Source organism: Homo sapiens, chromosome 9 (assembly GCF_000001405.40).
Source record: "Homo sapiens chromosome 9, GRCh38.p14 Primary Assembly".
Lineage (NCBI taxonomy): Eukaryota > Metazoa > Chordata > Mammalia > Primates > Hominidae > Homo > Homo sapiens.
This window is the reverse complement of record NC_000009.12, coordinates 41140527-41158255: the sequence shown is the minus strand read 5'-3', so window position 1 is coordinate 41158255 and position 17729 is coordinate 41140527. Positions and strand designations below refer to the sequence as shown.

Below are 17729 nucleotides of genomic sequence, written 5' to 3'. Positions count from 1 at the left end.
TGAAACCTCTGCCTCCTGGGTTCAAGCGATTCTCCTGCTTCACCCTCCCGAGTAGCTGGGATTACAGGTGTGCACCACCACACCCAGCTAATTTTTGTATTTTTAGTAGAGACGGTTTCGCCACATTGGCCAGGTTGGTGTCAAACTCCTGGCCTCAAAGTGATCCGCCCACCTTGGCCTCCCAAAGTGGAGCCCCCGTGCCCCTTGTTTGTGACCTGTCAATATAAATATGCTCAGTAGCGGGGGGAGGGGTGGGGGGTGAAAAAGGAAATATGTTTAATATTAAGACTTTGGCCTTTTAGTGTAAACTGATATTCAAAAATTTCTTCATAGAACATTTGCTTCTTTGCTTGATCATTTTTCTAATTCTGTACATCTAAAATGCCCAGAATTTGAGTTGCTGTTATAGTCTACTAACATAGAACTTTGGAGTAATAAGATGGGAATTTGTCTCTCTTTTGCCAAGACAAGCATTCGTAATCTAACACAGTATTGTTGCCACGAGTACGAGTATGTGATAGACTGTTGAGAATAAAGAAAGCAGGCACAGTTGGTCAGTCCTAAGATAAAGGAGATGTTTTTTCTTATATGTTTGTGCATTAAAGAAAAAAAAATCTTGAATCTGACCAATGATGTTTTTTTTCCTTGTAAGAAAATTTAACAAATGTTTGGCAAGCTTCTGGAATCTAAATTTGAAATTATACATTTGTCATTTTCTTTAAATATTTCTTCACCTTAGCTTTGATTATGAGAAATCACTGTCCTCTGCTGTTCTTTTTTTTTTTTTTTCTTTTGAGGCGGAGTCTCACTCTGTGCCAGGCTGGAGTGCAGTGGTGCAATCTCGGCTCACTGCAACCTCCACTTCCTAGGTTCAAATGATTCTCCTGCTGCAGCCTCCCGAGTAGCTGGGACTACAGGTGCGTGCCACCACACCCAGCTAATTTTTGTATTTTTGGTAGAGACAGGGTTTCACCACGTTGTCCATGGCCAGGATGGTCTTGATCTTGACCTTGTGATCCACCCGCCTCGGCCTCCCAAAGTGCTGGGATTGCAGGCGTGAGCCACCGCGCCCAGCCTGTCCTCTGTGATTTTCTGGGCTTATGTTAAAATTATAACTCAATCACCAGTCTTTATAAATTTGCTTTTTTATATTTAAACCAAACCTAATGCTAATTGTGATATGTTATTTATTCTCACCTGATTTGAATCATTGGATTCAATTAAATGAGTTTAATTATCATTAAGTAATTCTAAGAGAAATAATGTCTATTCGGATGGTGGGAATTTTCTTTCTACATGCAGCCCCATTCTGAATGAATGAAATCAAATCACGTGAAGATCAGGGTCCTAGAGTAACTTAATATTTTGTACATTGGTTATTTGACTCCTCATTTTTATATTACATGTTATATCAAGGGAGGGGGTATAAAAGAAATACAAAAATTGCAGAGGTATCTGGAATGTACCTATTTGTTAATTCTATTTGTCATTTCTTTTGTTTCATCTTTTGAGTAATAAGCTGCTTGGAAAAGTTTCTGTTCTTTAGCTGATTTTTTAGCTATAAAAATGTATTTGAAAAGCTCATAAATTTCAGCATTGAAAAGATAATTGAAAGTTTAAAAAAAACCTAATTCATTGAAGTAATAACCAAATAATTTTCAATCTTGATTCAACTGTGATTCAAATCTTACACCATTTGCCCACTTCTATGAATTTTATGTATAAAATTTTTTAAGAGTCAGAGTTTTTTTTTCTTGATTAATTGGATGTATTTCACAGAATTTCCAACTGCTCACGTTAGTTTTCTTCCTTTTAGAGTTGATCTCTCTAATGTATTAGATCTTCATGCCTTTGATAGTCTCTCTGGAATAAGGTATGTTTTGTATGATTTGGTTACTTTTATTGTTATGTACCTTTTTTCCCCATAGTTAACAGGAATGATTTGCACAATTGCATCCATGATTTAAGCTTCCTGCCATTCCTTTGGCATACAAGACCATTCTTAATGAGGTATATTCTTGGAAGTTTTACTAATTGGTTGTTTGGAAATCATATTGCATTTTCCTGTAGAAATTATAGTGTAAATGATAGTTAATTTTAGAGGCTAATCGTTAACACTTCTACACCAAACACTATGTCTAATACTCTTTCTATGAGAAAATGCATGAAATACATAGAAAATTTTAGCTTAGCGTTTTCACACAAATAACTCTCTTCACTTTATTTTTTTATTTTTTATTTTTTCTTGAGATTTTTTTAAATTTATTTATTTATTATTATTTAAGTTTTAGGGTACATGTGCACAATGTGCAGGTTAGTTACATATGTATACATGTGCCATGCTGGTGCGCTACACCCACTAACTCGTCATCTAGCATTAGTTATATCTCCCAATGCTATCCCTCCCCCCTCCCCCCAACCCACCACAGTCCCCAGAGTGTGATGTTCCCCTTCCTGTGTCCATGTGTTCTCATTGTTCAATTCCCACCTATGAGTGAGAATATGCGGTGTTTGGTTTTTTGTTCTTGCGATAGTTTACTGAGAATGATGATTTCCAATTTCATCCATGTCCCTACAAAGGACATGAACTCATCATTTTTTATGGCTGCATAGTATTCCATGATGTATATGTGCCACATTTTCTTAATCCAGTCTATCATTGTTGGACATTTGGGTTGGTTCCAAGTCTTTGCTATTGTGAATAATGCCGCAATAAACATACGTGTGCATATAGTCCTTTAGGGTATATACCCAGTAATGGGATGGCTGGGTCAAATGGTATTTCTAGTTCTAGATCCCTGAGGAATCGCCACACTGACTTCCACAATGGTTGAACTAGTTTACAGTCCCGCCAACAGTGTAAAAGTGTTCCTATTTCTCCACATCCTCTCCAGCACCTGTTGTTTCCTGACTTTTTAATGATCGCCATTCTAACTGGTGTGAGATAGTATCTCATTGTGGTTTTGATTTGCATTTCTCTGATGGCCAGAGATGGTGAGCATTTTTTCATGTGTTTTTTGGTGGCATAAATGTCTTCTTTTGAGAAGTGTCTGTTCATGTCCTTCGCCCACTTTTTGATGGGGTTGTTTGCTTTTTTCTTGTAAATTTGTTTGAGTTCATTGTAGATTCTGGATATTAGCCCTTTGTCAGATGAGTAGGTTGCGAAAATTTTCTCCCATTTTGTAGGTTGCCTGTTCACTCTGATGGTAGTTTCTTTTGCTGTGCAGAAGCTGTTTAGTTTAATTAGATCCCATCTGTCAATTTTGGCTTTTGTTACCATTGCTTTTGGTGTTTTAGACATGAAGTCCTTGCCCATGCCTATGTCCTGAATGGTAATGCCTAGGTTTTCTTCTAGGGTTTTTATGGTTTTAGGTCTAACATTTAAGTCTTTAATCCATCTTGAATTGATTTTTGTATAAGGTGTAAGGAAGGGATCCAGTTTCAGCTTTCGACATATGGCTAGCCGGTTTTCCCAGCACCATTTATTAAATAGGGAATCTTTCCCCACTGCTTGTTTTTCTCAGGTTTGTCAAAGATCAGATAGTTGTAGATATGCGGCATTATTTCTGAGGGCTCTGTTCTGTTCCATTGATCTATATCTCTGTTTTGGTACCAGTACCATGCTGTTTTGGTGACTGTAGCCTTGTAGTATAGTTTGAAGTCAGGTAGTGTGATGCCTCCAGCTTTGTTCTTTTGGCTTAGGATTGACTTGGCGATGCGGGCTCTTTTTTGGTTCCATATGAACTTTAAAGTAGTTTTTTCCAATTCTGTGAAGAAAGTCATTGGTAGCTTGATGGGGATGGCATTGAATCTGTAAATTACCTTGGGCAGTATGGCCATTTTCAGGATATTGATTCTTCTTACCCATGAGCATGGAATGTTCTTCCATTTGTTTGTATCCTCTTTTATTTCCTTGAGCAGTGGTTTGTAGTTCTCCTTGAAGAGGTCCTTCACATCCCTTGTAAGTTGGATTCCTAGGTATTTTATTCTCTTTGAAGCAATTGTGAATGGGAGTTCACTCATGATTTGGCTCTCTGTTTGTCTGTTGTTGGTGTATAAGAATGCTTGTGATTTTTGTACACTGATTTTGTATCCTGAGACTTTGCTGAAGTTGCTTATCAGCTTAAGGAGATTTTGGGCTGAGACGATGGGGTTTTCTAGATATACAATCATGTCGTCTGCAAACAGGGACAATTTGACTTCCTCTTTTCCTAATTGAATACCCTTTATTTCCTTCTCCTGCCTAATTGCCCTGGCCAGAACTTCCAACACTATGTTGAATAGGAGTGGTGAGAGAGGGCATCCCTGTCTTATGCCAGTTTTCAAAGGGAATGCTTCCAGTTTTTGCCCATTCAGTATGATATTGGCTGTGGGTTTGTCATAGATAGCTCTTATTATTTTGAAATACGTCCCATCAATACCTAATTTATTGAGAGTTTTTAGCATGACGGGTTGTTGAATTTTGTCAAAGGCCTTTTCTGCATCTATTGAGATAATCATGTGGTTTTTGTCTTTGGTTCTGTTTATATGCTGGATTACATGTATTGATTTGCATATATTGAACCAGCCTTGCGTCCCAGGGATGAAGCCCACTTGATCATGGTGGATAAGCTTTTTGATGTGCTGCTGGATTCGGTTTGCCAGTATTTTATTGAGGATTTTTGCATCAATGTTCATCAAGGATATTGGTCTAAAATTCTCTTTTTTGGTTGTGTCTCTGCCCGGCTTTGGTATCAGGATGATGCTGGCCTCATCAAATGAGTTAGGGAGGATTCCCTCTTTTTCTATTGATTGGAATAGTTTCAGAAGGAATGGTACCAGTTCCTCCTTGTACCTCTGGTAGAATTCGGCTGTGAATCTATCTGGTCCTGGACTCTTTTTGGTTGGTAAGCTATTGATTATTGCCACAATTTCAGATCCTGTTATTGGTCTATTCAGAGATTCAACTTCTTCCTGGTTTAGTCTTTGGAGGGGGTATGTGTCAAGGAATTTATCCATTTCTTCTAGATTTTCTAGTTTATTTGCGTAGAGGTGTTTTTAGTATTCTCTGATGGTAGTTTGTATTTCTGTGGGATCGGTGGTGATATCCCCTTTATCATTTTTTATTGCGTCTATTTGATTCTTCTCTCTTTTTTTCTTTATTAGTCTTGCTAGTGGTCTATCAATTTTGTTGATCCTTTCAAAAAACCAGCTCCTGGATTCATTAATTTTTTGAAGGGTTTTTTGTGTCTCTATTTCCTTCAGTTCTGCTCTGATTTTAGTTATTTCTTGCCTTCTGCTAGCTTTTGAATGTGTTTGCTCTTGCTTTTCTAGTTCTTTTAATTGTGATGTTAGGGTGTCAATTTTGGATCTTTCCTGCTTTCTCTTGTGGGCATTTAATGCTATAAATTTCCCTCTACACACTGCTTTGAATGTGTCCCAGAGATTCTGGTATGTTGTGTCTTTGTTCTCGTTGGTTTCAAAGAACATCTTTATTTCTGCCTTCATTTCGTTATGTACCCAGTAGTCATTCAGGAGCAGGTTGTTCAGTTTCCATGTAGTTGAGTGGTTTTGAGTGAGATTCTTAATCCTGAGTTCTAGTTTGATTGTACTGTGGTCTGAGAGATAGTTTGTTATAATTTCTGTTCTTTTACATTTGCTGAGGAGAGCTTTACTTCCAAGTATGTGGTCAATTTTGGAATAGGTGTGGTGTGGTGCTGAAAAGAATGTATATTCTGTTGATTTGGGGTGGAGAGTTCTGTAGATGTCTATTAGGTCTGCTTGGTGCAGAGCTGAGTTCAATTCCTGGGTATCCTTGTTGACTTTCTGTCTCATTGATCTGTCTAATGTTGACAGTGGGGTGTTAAAGTCTCCCATTATTATTGTGTAGGAGTCTAAGTCTCTTTGTAGGTCTCTAAGGACTTGCTTTATGAATCTGGGTGCTCCTGTATTGGGTGCATGTATATTTAGGATAGTTAGCTCTTCTTGTTGAATTGATCCCTTTACCATTATGTAATGGCCTTCTTTGTCTCTTTTGATCTTTGTTGGTTGAAAGTCTGTTTTATCAGAGACTAGGATTGCAACCCCTGCCTTTTTTTGTTTTTCATTTGCTTGGTAGATTTTCCTCCATCCCTTTATTTTGAGCCTATGTGTGTCTCTGCACGTGAGATGGGTTTCCTGAATACAGCACACTGATGGGTCTTGACTCTTTATCCAATTTGCCAGTCTGTGTCTTTTAATTGGAGCATTTAGTCCATTTACATTTAAAGTTAATATCGTTATGTGTGAATTTGATCCTGTCATTATGATGTTAGCTGGTTATTTTGCTCGTTAGTTGATGCAGTTTCTTCCTAGTCTCGATGGTCTTTACATTTTGGCATGATTTTGCAGTGGCTGGTACCGGTTGTTCCTTTCCATGTTTAGCGCTTCCTTCAGGAGCTCTTTTAGGGCAGGCCTGGTGGTGACAAAATCTCTCAGCATTTGCTTGTCTGTAAAGTATTTTATTTCTCCTTCACTTATGAAGCTTAGTTTGGCTGGATATGAAATTCTGGATTGAAAATTCTTTTCTTTAAGAATGTTGAATATTGGCCCCCACTCTCTTCTGGCTTGTAGAGTTTCTGCCAAGAGATCCGCTGTTAGTCTGATGGGCTTCCCTTTGAGGGTAACCCGACCTTTCTCTCTGGCTGCCCTTAACATTTTTTCCTTCATTTCAACTTTGGTGAATCTGACAATTATGTGTCTTGGAGTTGCTCTTCTCGAGGAGTATCTTTGTGGCATTCTCTGTATTTCCTGAATCTGAATGTTGGCCTGCCTTGCTAGATTGGGGAAGTTCTCCTGCATGATATCCTGCAGAGTGTTTTCCAACTTGGTTCCATTCTCCCTGTCACTTTCAGGTACACCAATCAGATGTAGATTTGGTCTTTTCACATAGTCCCATATTTCTTGGAGGCTTTGTTTGTTTCTTTTTATTCTTTTTTCTCTAAACTTCCCTTCTTGCTTCATTTCATTCATTTCATCTTCCATCGCTGATACCCTTTCTTCCAGTTGATCGCATCGGCTCCTGAGGCTTCTGCATTCTTCACGTAGTTCTCAAGCCTTGGTTTTCAGCTCCATCAGCTCCTTTAAGCACTTCTCTGTATTGGTTATTCTAGTTATACATTCTTCTAAATTTTTTTCAAAGTTTTCAACTTCTTTGCCTTTGGTTTGAATGTCCTCCCGTAGCTTGGAGTAATTTGATCGTCTGAAGCCTTCTTCTCTCAGCTCGTCAAAGTCATTCTCCGTCCAGCTTTGTTCCGTTGCTGGTGAGGAGCTGCGTTTCTTTGGAGGAGGAGAGGCACTGCGTTCCTTTGGAGGAGGAGAGGTGCTCTGCTTTTTAGAGTTTCCCGTTTTTCTGCTCTGTTTTTTCCCCATCTTTGTGGTTTTTATCTACTTTTGGTCTTTGATGATGGTGATGTACAGATGGGTTTTTGGTGTGGATGTCCTTTCTGTTTGTTAGTTTTCCTTCTAACAGACAGGACCTTCAGCTGCAGGTCTGTTGGAGTACCCGGCCGTGTGAGGTGTCAGCCTGCCTCTGCTAGGGGGTGCCTCCCAGTTAGGCTACTCGGGGGTCAGGGGTCAGGGACCCACTTGAGGAGGCAGTCTGCCCGTTCTCAGATCTCCAGCTGCGTGCTGGGAGAACCACTGCTCTCTTCAAAGCTGTCAGACAGGGACAGGTAAGTCTGCAGAGGTTACTGCTGTCTTTTTGTGTGTCTGTGCCCTGCCCCCAGAGGTGGAGCCTACAGAGGCAGGCAGGCTTCCTTGAGCTGTGGTGGGCTCCACCCAGTTGGAGCTTCCTGGCTGCTTTGTTTACCTAAGCAAGCCTGGGCAATGGCGGGCGCCCCTCCCCCAGCCTCGCTGCCGCCTTGCAGTTTGATCTCAGACTGCTGTGCTAGCAATCCGCGAGACTCCGTGGGCGTGGGACCCTCCGAGCCAGGTGCGGGACACAATCTCCTGGTGCGCGGTTTTTTAAGCCCGTCAGAAAAGCGCAGTATTCGGGTGGGAGTGACCCAATCTTACAGGTGCAGTCTGTCACCCCTTTCTTTGACTAGGAAAGGGAACTCCCTGACCCCCTGTGCTTCCCAAGTGAGACAATGCCTCGCCCTGCTTTGGCTCGCGGATGGAGCACGCACCCACTGACCTGCGCCCACTGTCCGGCACTACCTAGTGAGATGAACCCGGTACCTCAGATGGAAATGTAGAAATCGCCTGTCTTCTGCGTCTCTCACGCTGGGAGCTGTAGACCGGAGCTGTTCCTATTCGGCCATCTTGGCTCCTCTCTCCTCTCTTCACTTTAATAATGGATTAGTTTTCTGCCTTCTCCTGTGGGGAATCTTTTTGGTAAGGGAGGGAAGAAAGATTAGTTATTCTTGTGCATCAGTATCTTTTTCTTTTTTTATTGTAGTAAGAACATCTAACATGAGATCTACCCTCTTAACAATTTTTTAAGTGTACAATACAGTATTGCTAACTATAGGCATGAGGATGTGCAGCAGATCTCTGGAACGTTTCACTCTTTAGAACTGAAGCTTTATACCCCTTGAATAGCAGCTTCCCATTTCCCTGTCTTCATAGCCCCTGGCATCCACCATTCTACACTCTTTCTGTGGGGTTGACTATTTTAATTACCTGACACAAGTGGAATCATGCATTATTTGTCTTTCTGTGACTGGTTGATTTCATGTAGCATAAAGTCATCAAGGTTCATCCATGTTTTTGCATATGGCAAGGTTTCCTTTTTAAGTCTGAATAATATTCCATTTTCTACATATACCACATTTACTTTATCCCTTTTTCTGTTAGTGGACATTTAACTTGTTCTCACAGCTTGGCTATTGGAAATAATGCTGCAATGAATATCTCATAAGTCTCATATATGTCCATACAAGATCATGAAAATGGACATGTCTCTGGGTATTTTGAATTGGTGGGACAATTTTGCTTAAGGGTAGGCATAGTGGGTGGCTCTACATTTGAGAGTTCTAATTCCCATTCCTATATATATTTCTTTTCTTTTTATTTATTTTTTTGAGATGGGGTTCTCTGTCACTCAGGCTGGAGTGCAGTGGCACAAACATGGCTTACTGCAGCCTCAGCCTCCTGGGCTCAAGTGATCCTCCCATCTCAGCCTCCCAAGAAGCTGGGACCACAGGCATGTGTCACCATGCCTGACTAATTTTTTTTTTTAATTTTCTATAAGCATGGGGTCTTGCTATGTTGCCTAGGCTGGTCTCAAACTCCTGGGCTCAAGTGATCCTCATGCCTCAGCCTCCCAAAGTGCTGGGATTACATGTGTAGGCCACCACACCCAGCCTTATAAATATATTTCTAATTTTGGCTTAGCCATGCCCTTAAAAACTAATTCTACTTTCAACTAGTTTTTTTTTCCACCTTCAGTCTGTAGTATTGTTCACATTTTGAAAACAATACCTACAGTAACCTGTGAGGTAGGACATGATAGTGTTTTATTGGACCCCTTTTACTTTATGAATTGGAAAAATTAAATTTGCATGTAGTTTGTAAAAAAAAAAAAGAAAGAAAGAAAAAAGAAATTGATTGAGATTATTTCAGCAGCCAGAAGTGTGGGACAGGCAGGGCAGTTATTCCTCCTTCTCAGTTTGGAAACTGAAGCTCAGAGAGTAAACTTGTCAGTGACACAGTTATTCAAGAAGTTGTCTTCAGTTGAGAGATATGTTTTTCACCTGTAGCTTCTGGTATTGGAGGAGTACCTTTTTAGACTAAACAAATTACGGTTAAAATTATAAAGGTATTTTTGGAGTACCTGGAAAAAATCAACATTTTGCTTTTCTAGTTCCATTTAGTAGGAAGGCAGGAAAGTTTGGTATACCTGAATTACATGTGAGTTATTTCTATTTTTCTAAAAATTCTTATAAATTGTGTAAGGTAAAAATGACTACTTCTTGTTTTATGGTAAATATAGTTATATCCTTTCAAGCCACTGCTGTACAAAGTTGTGAAATCTCCCTGAGGCTTTTTCCCTCATGTCAGCTTCAGGTATCCAGTATCACTTATGCTTGATAATGATTGTATGAAAATCATTCAGAATTATACTATGTTTTTTCATATAAAGCTTTTGTTTTACTAATTTTGAAATGACTGTTCCTCCATTAAGCGAATACAGCCCTAAGCATAAATTTGGTTTGTTCATTTAAAAATGGTCTTTTTTTCCCATCTTAGTTCTGGCTTTACTAGGGAGATAGATTGGCTGAGGTTGTCACCTAATTCTGGGAGGTTAAGAGCCTTTGTCTTTTGCTACCCATTTCTGAAATAACCAGAAGTCTAGCCCATCCTAACTTTTCTCTCGATGATCCTTTTCTTCTTTTTACTTCAAGGTTCCAGCCCTTCATTTGACTATCAGTGCTGTTTCACTAGTTAGCCATGATCGCTTTCATCCGCCGTGTCTGGATTAGAACTGTATTTTTAATTTGATGCTGTGGGCAGTTTTGATAGTTACAGATCCTGTGATACATTTAAATGTGTTTACAAGGGGAACCAATGAAACAATGCTGCATGAAATTTGCCTTTCTTTTTTTTTTTTTTTCCCCTTGGAGACAGGGTCTGGGTCTATTGCCCAGGCTAGAGTGCAGTGGTGCGATGTCAGCTCCCTATAGCCTCTGTGTCCTGGGCTTAAGCCATCTTCCCACCTCAGACTCATGAGTAGCTGGGACTATAGGCACGCACTACCATGCCTGGCTAATTTTTTATTTTGGTAGAAGATGAGGTTTTGCCATGTTGCCGAAGCTGATCTTAAACTCCTGGGCTTAAGTGATCTGCCCACCTCAGCCTCCCAAAGTAATGGGATTATAGGCGTGAGCCACCACACTTGGCCTTTTCTTTTTTTCATATTTATTTAATTATTTTATTTTATTGAGACAGAGTCTCACTCTGACACCTGGGCTGGAATGCAGTGGCTATCATGGCTCTCTGCAGTCGTGAACTCCTGGACTCAAGTGATCCTCCCATCTCAGCCTCCTGAGTAGCTGGGACTACAGGCTTGCACCCATGCCTGGCTAATTTTTTTATTTTTACTTTTTTGTAGTGACAGGCTCTCGCTACGTTGCTCAGGCTCATCTTGAACTCCTGGCCTCAAGTGATTCTCCTACTTGGCCTCTCAAAGTGCTGGGATTATAAGCCTGAGCCACTGAACCCAGCAAAATTTGCCTTTCTTAAACTAATTTATCTCTGTTGGGTCCAAGAGCTTACAAGTTGGTTGTCATTTAATATGTTAAACACTAGAATATTTTTTAGTTGAAGTTTTATTTTTTCCCTTTACATATTGTATCCTTTAGTGCTTTATTTCACTAATAAGAATTATAGTATGCAATCATTTCCCACCTCTATATTCAGTATATCAATTTTTGTTTTTCCTTTCTACTTCTGTCTTTTGCTATAATTTGCTGTAATACAGGTACTTTCATCAAGGCATCCAGTTCTTTATATCATTCTATATTTTTACTTGGGAGAAATAGAAATGTTGCTAATTCCATCTTACTGACAATACCTAAATTATTGTTTGTTATAGAACATAATGATTTAAATATACAAAACACTAAACTGTTTGAGATTTTTTACATTTTATGCGTGCAGAATTTACATTTTATGTGTGCAGAGACAAAAATTGTTATAAGATTACAAGTTAATGTGCAAGATGATTTCCGATTCATGAGTTTCAGGTTTTGATAGCATATCCTTATCCACTAGATTAGTCTTTTAAAAATGTGTATGATAGGGAAAAAAATCGAGGGCATGAAATTCTGAGACTTATGGGAACTAAACTTAAATGTTCGTTGTTAGATTTTTTTTTTTTTTTTTTTTTTGCTGCGTATGAAGTTTTAGGCAGTCATTGTCCAACAACATTAAATACTGAACATAAGGAAAAGCATATGATTTTTTGAAATGTTTTTCTAAAGTAATCTCATTCTACATACACTTAAGAGCAGTTATAATGCTTTAGTGACACTTGAAGTAGCTATTTAATGTGATCTCACCACTATAGGGAAGGCCATTGCATGACTTTTTTGTGTGTGCTTAACTGCTAAACAGGAGAATCTTTTCCTGAGCAACCAGCTGGGAAGGATTTAATTTGACATTCTCCTTACTAGGACCCCCCAAAGAGACTCATTCCCTCCAATAGTTCCTACAAGTTCTTTCTCTTTCCTAAACTTGCTGTTACTAATTTACCCCTCACTGTTCTTCAAGGCAAAGCATCTGCAAGGTTTTCAGTCCTTTCCCCCTCCCGTCCTGTCCCCATCAGTGTTGAAATGTATGCTACAGTTATTATGGTTGTAATTTGTTATGCCATGTTGATCTTCTTGTGCTTTTCATATCAGAACAATGTATTTTTAACATTCTGACTTTCTTTTTCTCTCAATTGGTAACTGACTATATAGAAAATTTATATTTATGGATACTATTTCTTTTTTAATAAGTTCAAGGGAAAACATTGATAAAGGAAAATTTATCCTTTCAACTTTCTTTAGGTGCCAGCATTATTTTCATATTAGGAAGCAGGAGAAAGTTAAGGAACTCTAAACAATACTAGAATGGTTATATATATATTTAAGTTTGTATTAAACCTGTTGGAATGGTAAAGAAATTTACTGACATATTTAACCATACAAAATAGTGTTGCTAAAAGACTAGTTTTTCTCTTTATTCTGTGCATATGTATATATATGAATGTGTGTTTTTTTTTAAGAAATTTTAAAAAAACTTAATCTGCCAGCTTTTCTCTATTGGAATTTGCGAACAACTTGTAAAATTGGAATTACAGAATATTAGAATAGTCAGTTATGGAAAGTCACTTCATTATCCTTGTGTCACTAAATAACGTATAAAGTTAAATCAGAAGTGTATTCATCTCTGAATTTCTAATCAGTTGTTTTTAGTTTGCAGAAAAAACTTCAGCATGTGCCAGGAACACAACCTCACCTTGATCAGGTAAAGAAAAAAAATCTAAATCCAAAATTTCTAATCAATGTTTTTAAAGGACCTCTTTAACTAGATAGGCTATGTTTAGGACTATTTTATTATAAACTTTTTCTAAAATGGTATTTTTGAACTGTGTTGATAATTTTTGGAATCTTAAATGCTTTTGACATAGTCTAATTCTATTTCTTAACACATAATAGGAATTCATCAAACCAGATTTGTTTTAGAATCTGAGGAAACCATGCTTTCTAGCCTTTCCATTCTGTAGATTGCTTAGCATATTGGTTAGTTCTGATAGGGATTACTCCTTAAAAGCAGCCTGGGGGTTCTATAGGCAGTCTGTTTTTAAGTATGTTGAATTGTTTAAGGAAAGGTCTGATATAAGCATGGCTTATTTAAATAAAAATTGACTTGGAGTTTCACCTTCAGGTAGCACTATAAATTTGAACTCCTTAAGATGTTTTTCATGCTCTAAAATTCTAATCCCTAAGGTAAATATCTAAGATGCTAGGAACAATTTAAATATAATTTTACTGTACCTGCGTTTCTGTTAAGCAGATCATAGATCATAGAGCTTTAGGATAACTTCTTTGTTCCTCTTAAAACCCTGAGGGGTGGAGTGGGGGATGTGTAAGTGAGCAGTGTGCCTAATCTTCCTTCCTCTCTCTCAAGTGATCACTCAATTTTTGAATTGCTGTTGGTTGTAATAGGGCCAAGATAACAGCTACTTGCATTTGTATTCATTTTGGTTCACATTTATGAGCAGGTTTGCTACTATGTTTGTGGCACCTTTCCCTGTGAAACTTTTGTTAATAGGATATTCCTCTTCACTTATCTTTAAAATGAATAAATGAGAGAAATACAAGTCCTTGGAGATAGAATTTATGGTAAAAAAAAAAAAACTCAGTTCTTTATGATAGTCGGTATCTGTCATATAGTTGAACATGAAGCACATTTGAGCTTCTGGGTAAAGAACGTGATACCAAGAATCATAGGGATGAAAAGATGAAGCAAACGCAGTACTCACTTACCATGAACATTTGGAGCAGCCAGTGTCTCCATCCATAGAATCTCGAATGAACCCCTATTGTGGCAGTTATGATGCCTTGTAGTTTGGTTGAAATGCTTTTGCCTTGCATTAGTCTATAAATTCCTTAAATATAAAATCTTTATTGCTTAGTACAGGGCTTGGTGGATACTCAGTGAATATTTGTTAAAAGAATGAAAAGCTGTGTTTCTCAAATGAGGTATAAATCAGAATCACATGTGGAGCTTTTTTAAAAAAAAATCGATAATTCAGTAGTTCTCACCCCTCAGTCTCCAGGATTGGGACTTGGGTATGTGTATATTAATGTATATTTTTAACATTTTATTATGGAAGATTTCAAAGATATAAAAGAATAAACAGAATAGTAAAGTAAACCCCTTGTATGCATCACCCAGTTTAAATGGCATCAACATTTAGCTGATTTTATTTCACCTATCCTCCCAACATTTCTTTTGCCTGGAGTATTTTAAAAAAACAAATGTATTTTAATAGGAAATTTCAAACGTGCATAAGAGTAGAATAGTATAATGAGCCTGTATGTACCTATTGCTCTTGGTGTAGTGTATTAAAGCAAATTCCAGACATTATGTCACTTTACTACTAAATAGGGCATATCTATATTTTTGTAGCCTCTGTAGGAGATTCTGATGCACTGTCCTGCTTTAGATAATATAAACATAGGGAAAAATAGTATCACAGCCAAAGGGCTATGGGATTCAGAGGCAAGAACAATTTCATTTGGTTTAGTGGATCTGAGGTGTAAGGGAGGAAATTTATCTTTTCCTCGCCTATCACTAGATTCATGGCTGAGGTCTCTCTAACAGAAGACCAACTATCAAGAGAAATTTCAACATAGAAATTTATTTAGTAAGTTTTACTTGACACAGGAGCCTTCATAAAACATACCTGTGTATGTTTTCTGTTAGTTATGGTATGGAAGAGGATAGTTAATGGAGAAGCATAATTAGATAAAACAGTATGATCTAATAATAAACTGGGAAGAACTTAGCAAGGCCTGTTTGTTCAGATTTTTCTCTGTGACCCTTCATATTCAGACTTAAGGATGTTCTTTTCCTCTGTGTATAGAGAGGGCACCTCTTAAATGAGGGTCTTATGACCTGCATCAGCGGAAGGTCAGAAAATCTTTCCTAGGTTTTATGACCTGCTTCAGGAGAGAAGGTGAGAGTGACCTTCCTGATTCTGCCATTTTCTCAAATATTGAGTTGCCATATTTTGGGATAGCATGTCCTGAACCCCATCAAATGCTTCATGAGGATAGTTTTTTGTTTGTTTGTTTTGGTTTTGGTTTATTTATTTGCATAAAGCATGTAAATGTGTAATTTTAGTGTACAATTCAATGTTTGGGTTTTGTTTTTGTTTTTGTTTTTTTGGTTTTTTCTGAGACGGAGTCTCGCTCTGGCTGGAGTCTCACCCAGGCTGGAGTGCAGTGGTGTGACCTTGGCTCACTGCAACTTCCTCCTTCTAGATTCAAGTGATTCTCATGCCTCAGCCTTCTGAGTAGCTGGGATTACAGGCATGTACCACCATGCCTAGCTAATTTTTGTATTTTTTTTTTTTTTTTTTTTTTTTTTTTTTTTTTAGTAAAGATGGGGTTTCACCATGTTGGCCAAGCTGGTCTCAAACTCCTGACTTCAGGTGATCCACCTGCTTCGGCCTCCCAAAGTGCTGGGATTACAGGCGTGAGCCACTGTGCCCGGCCTCAATGTATTTTTACATATATTTGTACCTATATATCTGTCTATATGCACATTCAAACACATATCCTTCTAACTCCCACTCAGGTCAAGATACAAAAGATATCCAAAATTGTAAAGAGTTCCTTTTTGCCCCTTCCTAGTCAAAGAAGGGGTAAGTGCTATTCTGACTTACTTAACAAAAAATAACCTTGAACTGGTAGGATTTTTTTTGACGGTAGGATTTTTTTTGACAGGAAGAAGTAAGGAAAAGAGCAATATGGATGTTTAAAAATGAGAAGGTGAGAATCTTATAGATGAGTAGGTCTCTGGTACAGAAGTCTTAGTGGAGAGTTGGTACTGGAATCCTGGTCTAAGGTATTAGGTTTTAATTTGCTAGACAAAGAAAACTCAAGCAGTGCTGTCTAGGAGTGTTATGTAAGCTAGATTGGACTTTAGAGTCAGGAGACCATGCGGGAAGTTACTGTGTGATAAGGGCCTGAAACATGTTGGTTACAGTGAGACTAGAAATGGGATAAATCCAGAGCTGTTTCACCAGTAGACTTGCCTGAATATCCTGTCTGACTGAGTATGGATCAGAAAGAAAAGAAGGGGTGATGGGAAACAAGCCTAGATTGACTAGAGAAACCTAGAAATAGAAAAATCGGGACGGCAAAGTGATTTGGATGATAATGCCATATATTCAGTTGTCCCTGGTGGCCAGATATTATACTATAGATATTATACAGGCAAAGAAGAACAGAGGGATAGAGTGTGAAGGTACAGATTTTGAGTTTAAGCACATTAGGGGGCTTAGTGTTCTGGATGAAGAAAACATATAAAAGTTATTGTATGTTAGGTATTGTTTGCAAAAGAGTAGAAAATGGAGAAATAACCCAGTGGGTTAAAGAAGAAACGGACTAAATAAACAAACCTGAGTAAGTTGTTCCTAAATTTTATTTTAGAGACAATTCCTCATTTTGCTTTAGTTTTCTCAATTATTGCCTCACTTTTCTGTTTCTTTCTGTGTCAGCATACATGGAAAAAGGAGTTAATTTTAGATTCAAAACAAAAACTGGAAAAAAAAAGTCTGAAATGGGTAATACCTAGGACCTAGTATATATGTGTTATTAAGGCTCTATCCCTGAATTTTTAATGCAGTTATCTATTTTTCATGGATTCTTTGTTTATTCCCCATAAGGAACACCTGGGTTTGGAGAGCGGGAAGGTAGATGAGAAAACCCAAGTGACAAATAATGTTTAGTTTATTATTAGAACCAACTATGAGTTGTGACCCTTATCTTCTGCACTGGGAATTACAGATTTTTTCAGGGTTTTTCTAACATGAAAAGAGTTTATTGGTGTAGGAAAACATCTGGTTCCAAAATATAGATCATCCTTCTTGAGCTTTAATTTTTAAAGCCTTTTTTGTCTCATACTGGAGTTTATTGTACCCCTTAAAAATATTAAGTCAAAAATATTTAACCTGTTAAAAGCAAAAATCATTATAAAAATCTTTAGGCTGGGTGTGGTGGCTTATGCTTGTAATCCTAGCGCTTTGACAGGCCAAGGTGGGTGGATTGCTTAAAACCCAGGAGTTGTAGACCAGCCTGGGCAACATGGTGAAACCCCATTTCTGCAAAAAATACAAAAAATTAGCCAGGCATGGTGGCATGTACCTGTAATCCCAGCTACTCGAGAGGCTGAAGTGGGAGGATTGCTTTAGCTTGGGAGTTCAAAGCTACAGTAAGCCATGATTGTGCCACTCTACTCCAGCCTGGGCAACAGAGTGAGACCCCATCTCAAAAAAATTTATTCAGTTAAAATCTTTAACAATAAAGCAATTTTGAGTCGTATTTTGCGACATTCTCAATATAGTTTTCCAACTTGCATTAAAATACATTTTAAACATTTTTGAAGACTAAATTTATTTTTTTTTAACTGACAGTTATGTTTCATTTGACAACCTTTTGCTGTATATTTTTATGTGGACTTTTAGGTATTGTAGTGATTCCTTTAAT

General features: G+C 38.0%; 1 protein-coding gene across 29 annotated transcripts in view; it reads left to right on the top strand.

Moving 5' to 3' along the window:
* ZNG1F (Zn regulated GTPase metalloprotein activator 1F) overlaps positions 1-17729 on the top strand; it is a 74427-nt gene that overhangs the window by 47480 nt on the left and 9218 nt on the right. For 9 of the 29 annotated variants that reach the window (XM_017015028.2, XM_047423722.1, XM_017015022.2 and 6 more), the window contains 3 exons: positions 1817-1873; positions 12924-12975; positions 15966-16010. In XM_017015028.2, the coding sequence (XP_016870517.1) occupies positions 1817-1873; positions 12924-12975; positions 15966-16010 (154 nt within the window). Of the gene's footprint in view, positions 1-1816; positions 1874-12923; positions 12976-15100; positions 15306-15965; positions 16011-17729 lie in introns of those variants that run through there. The other 20 variants (NR_170339.1, NM_001386877.1, XM_047423721.1 and 17 more) reach the window with 6 other exon arrangements.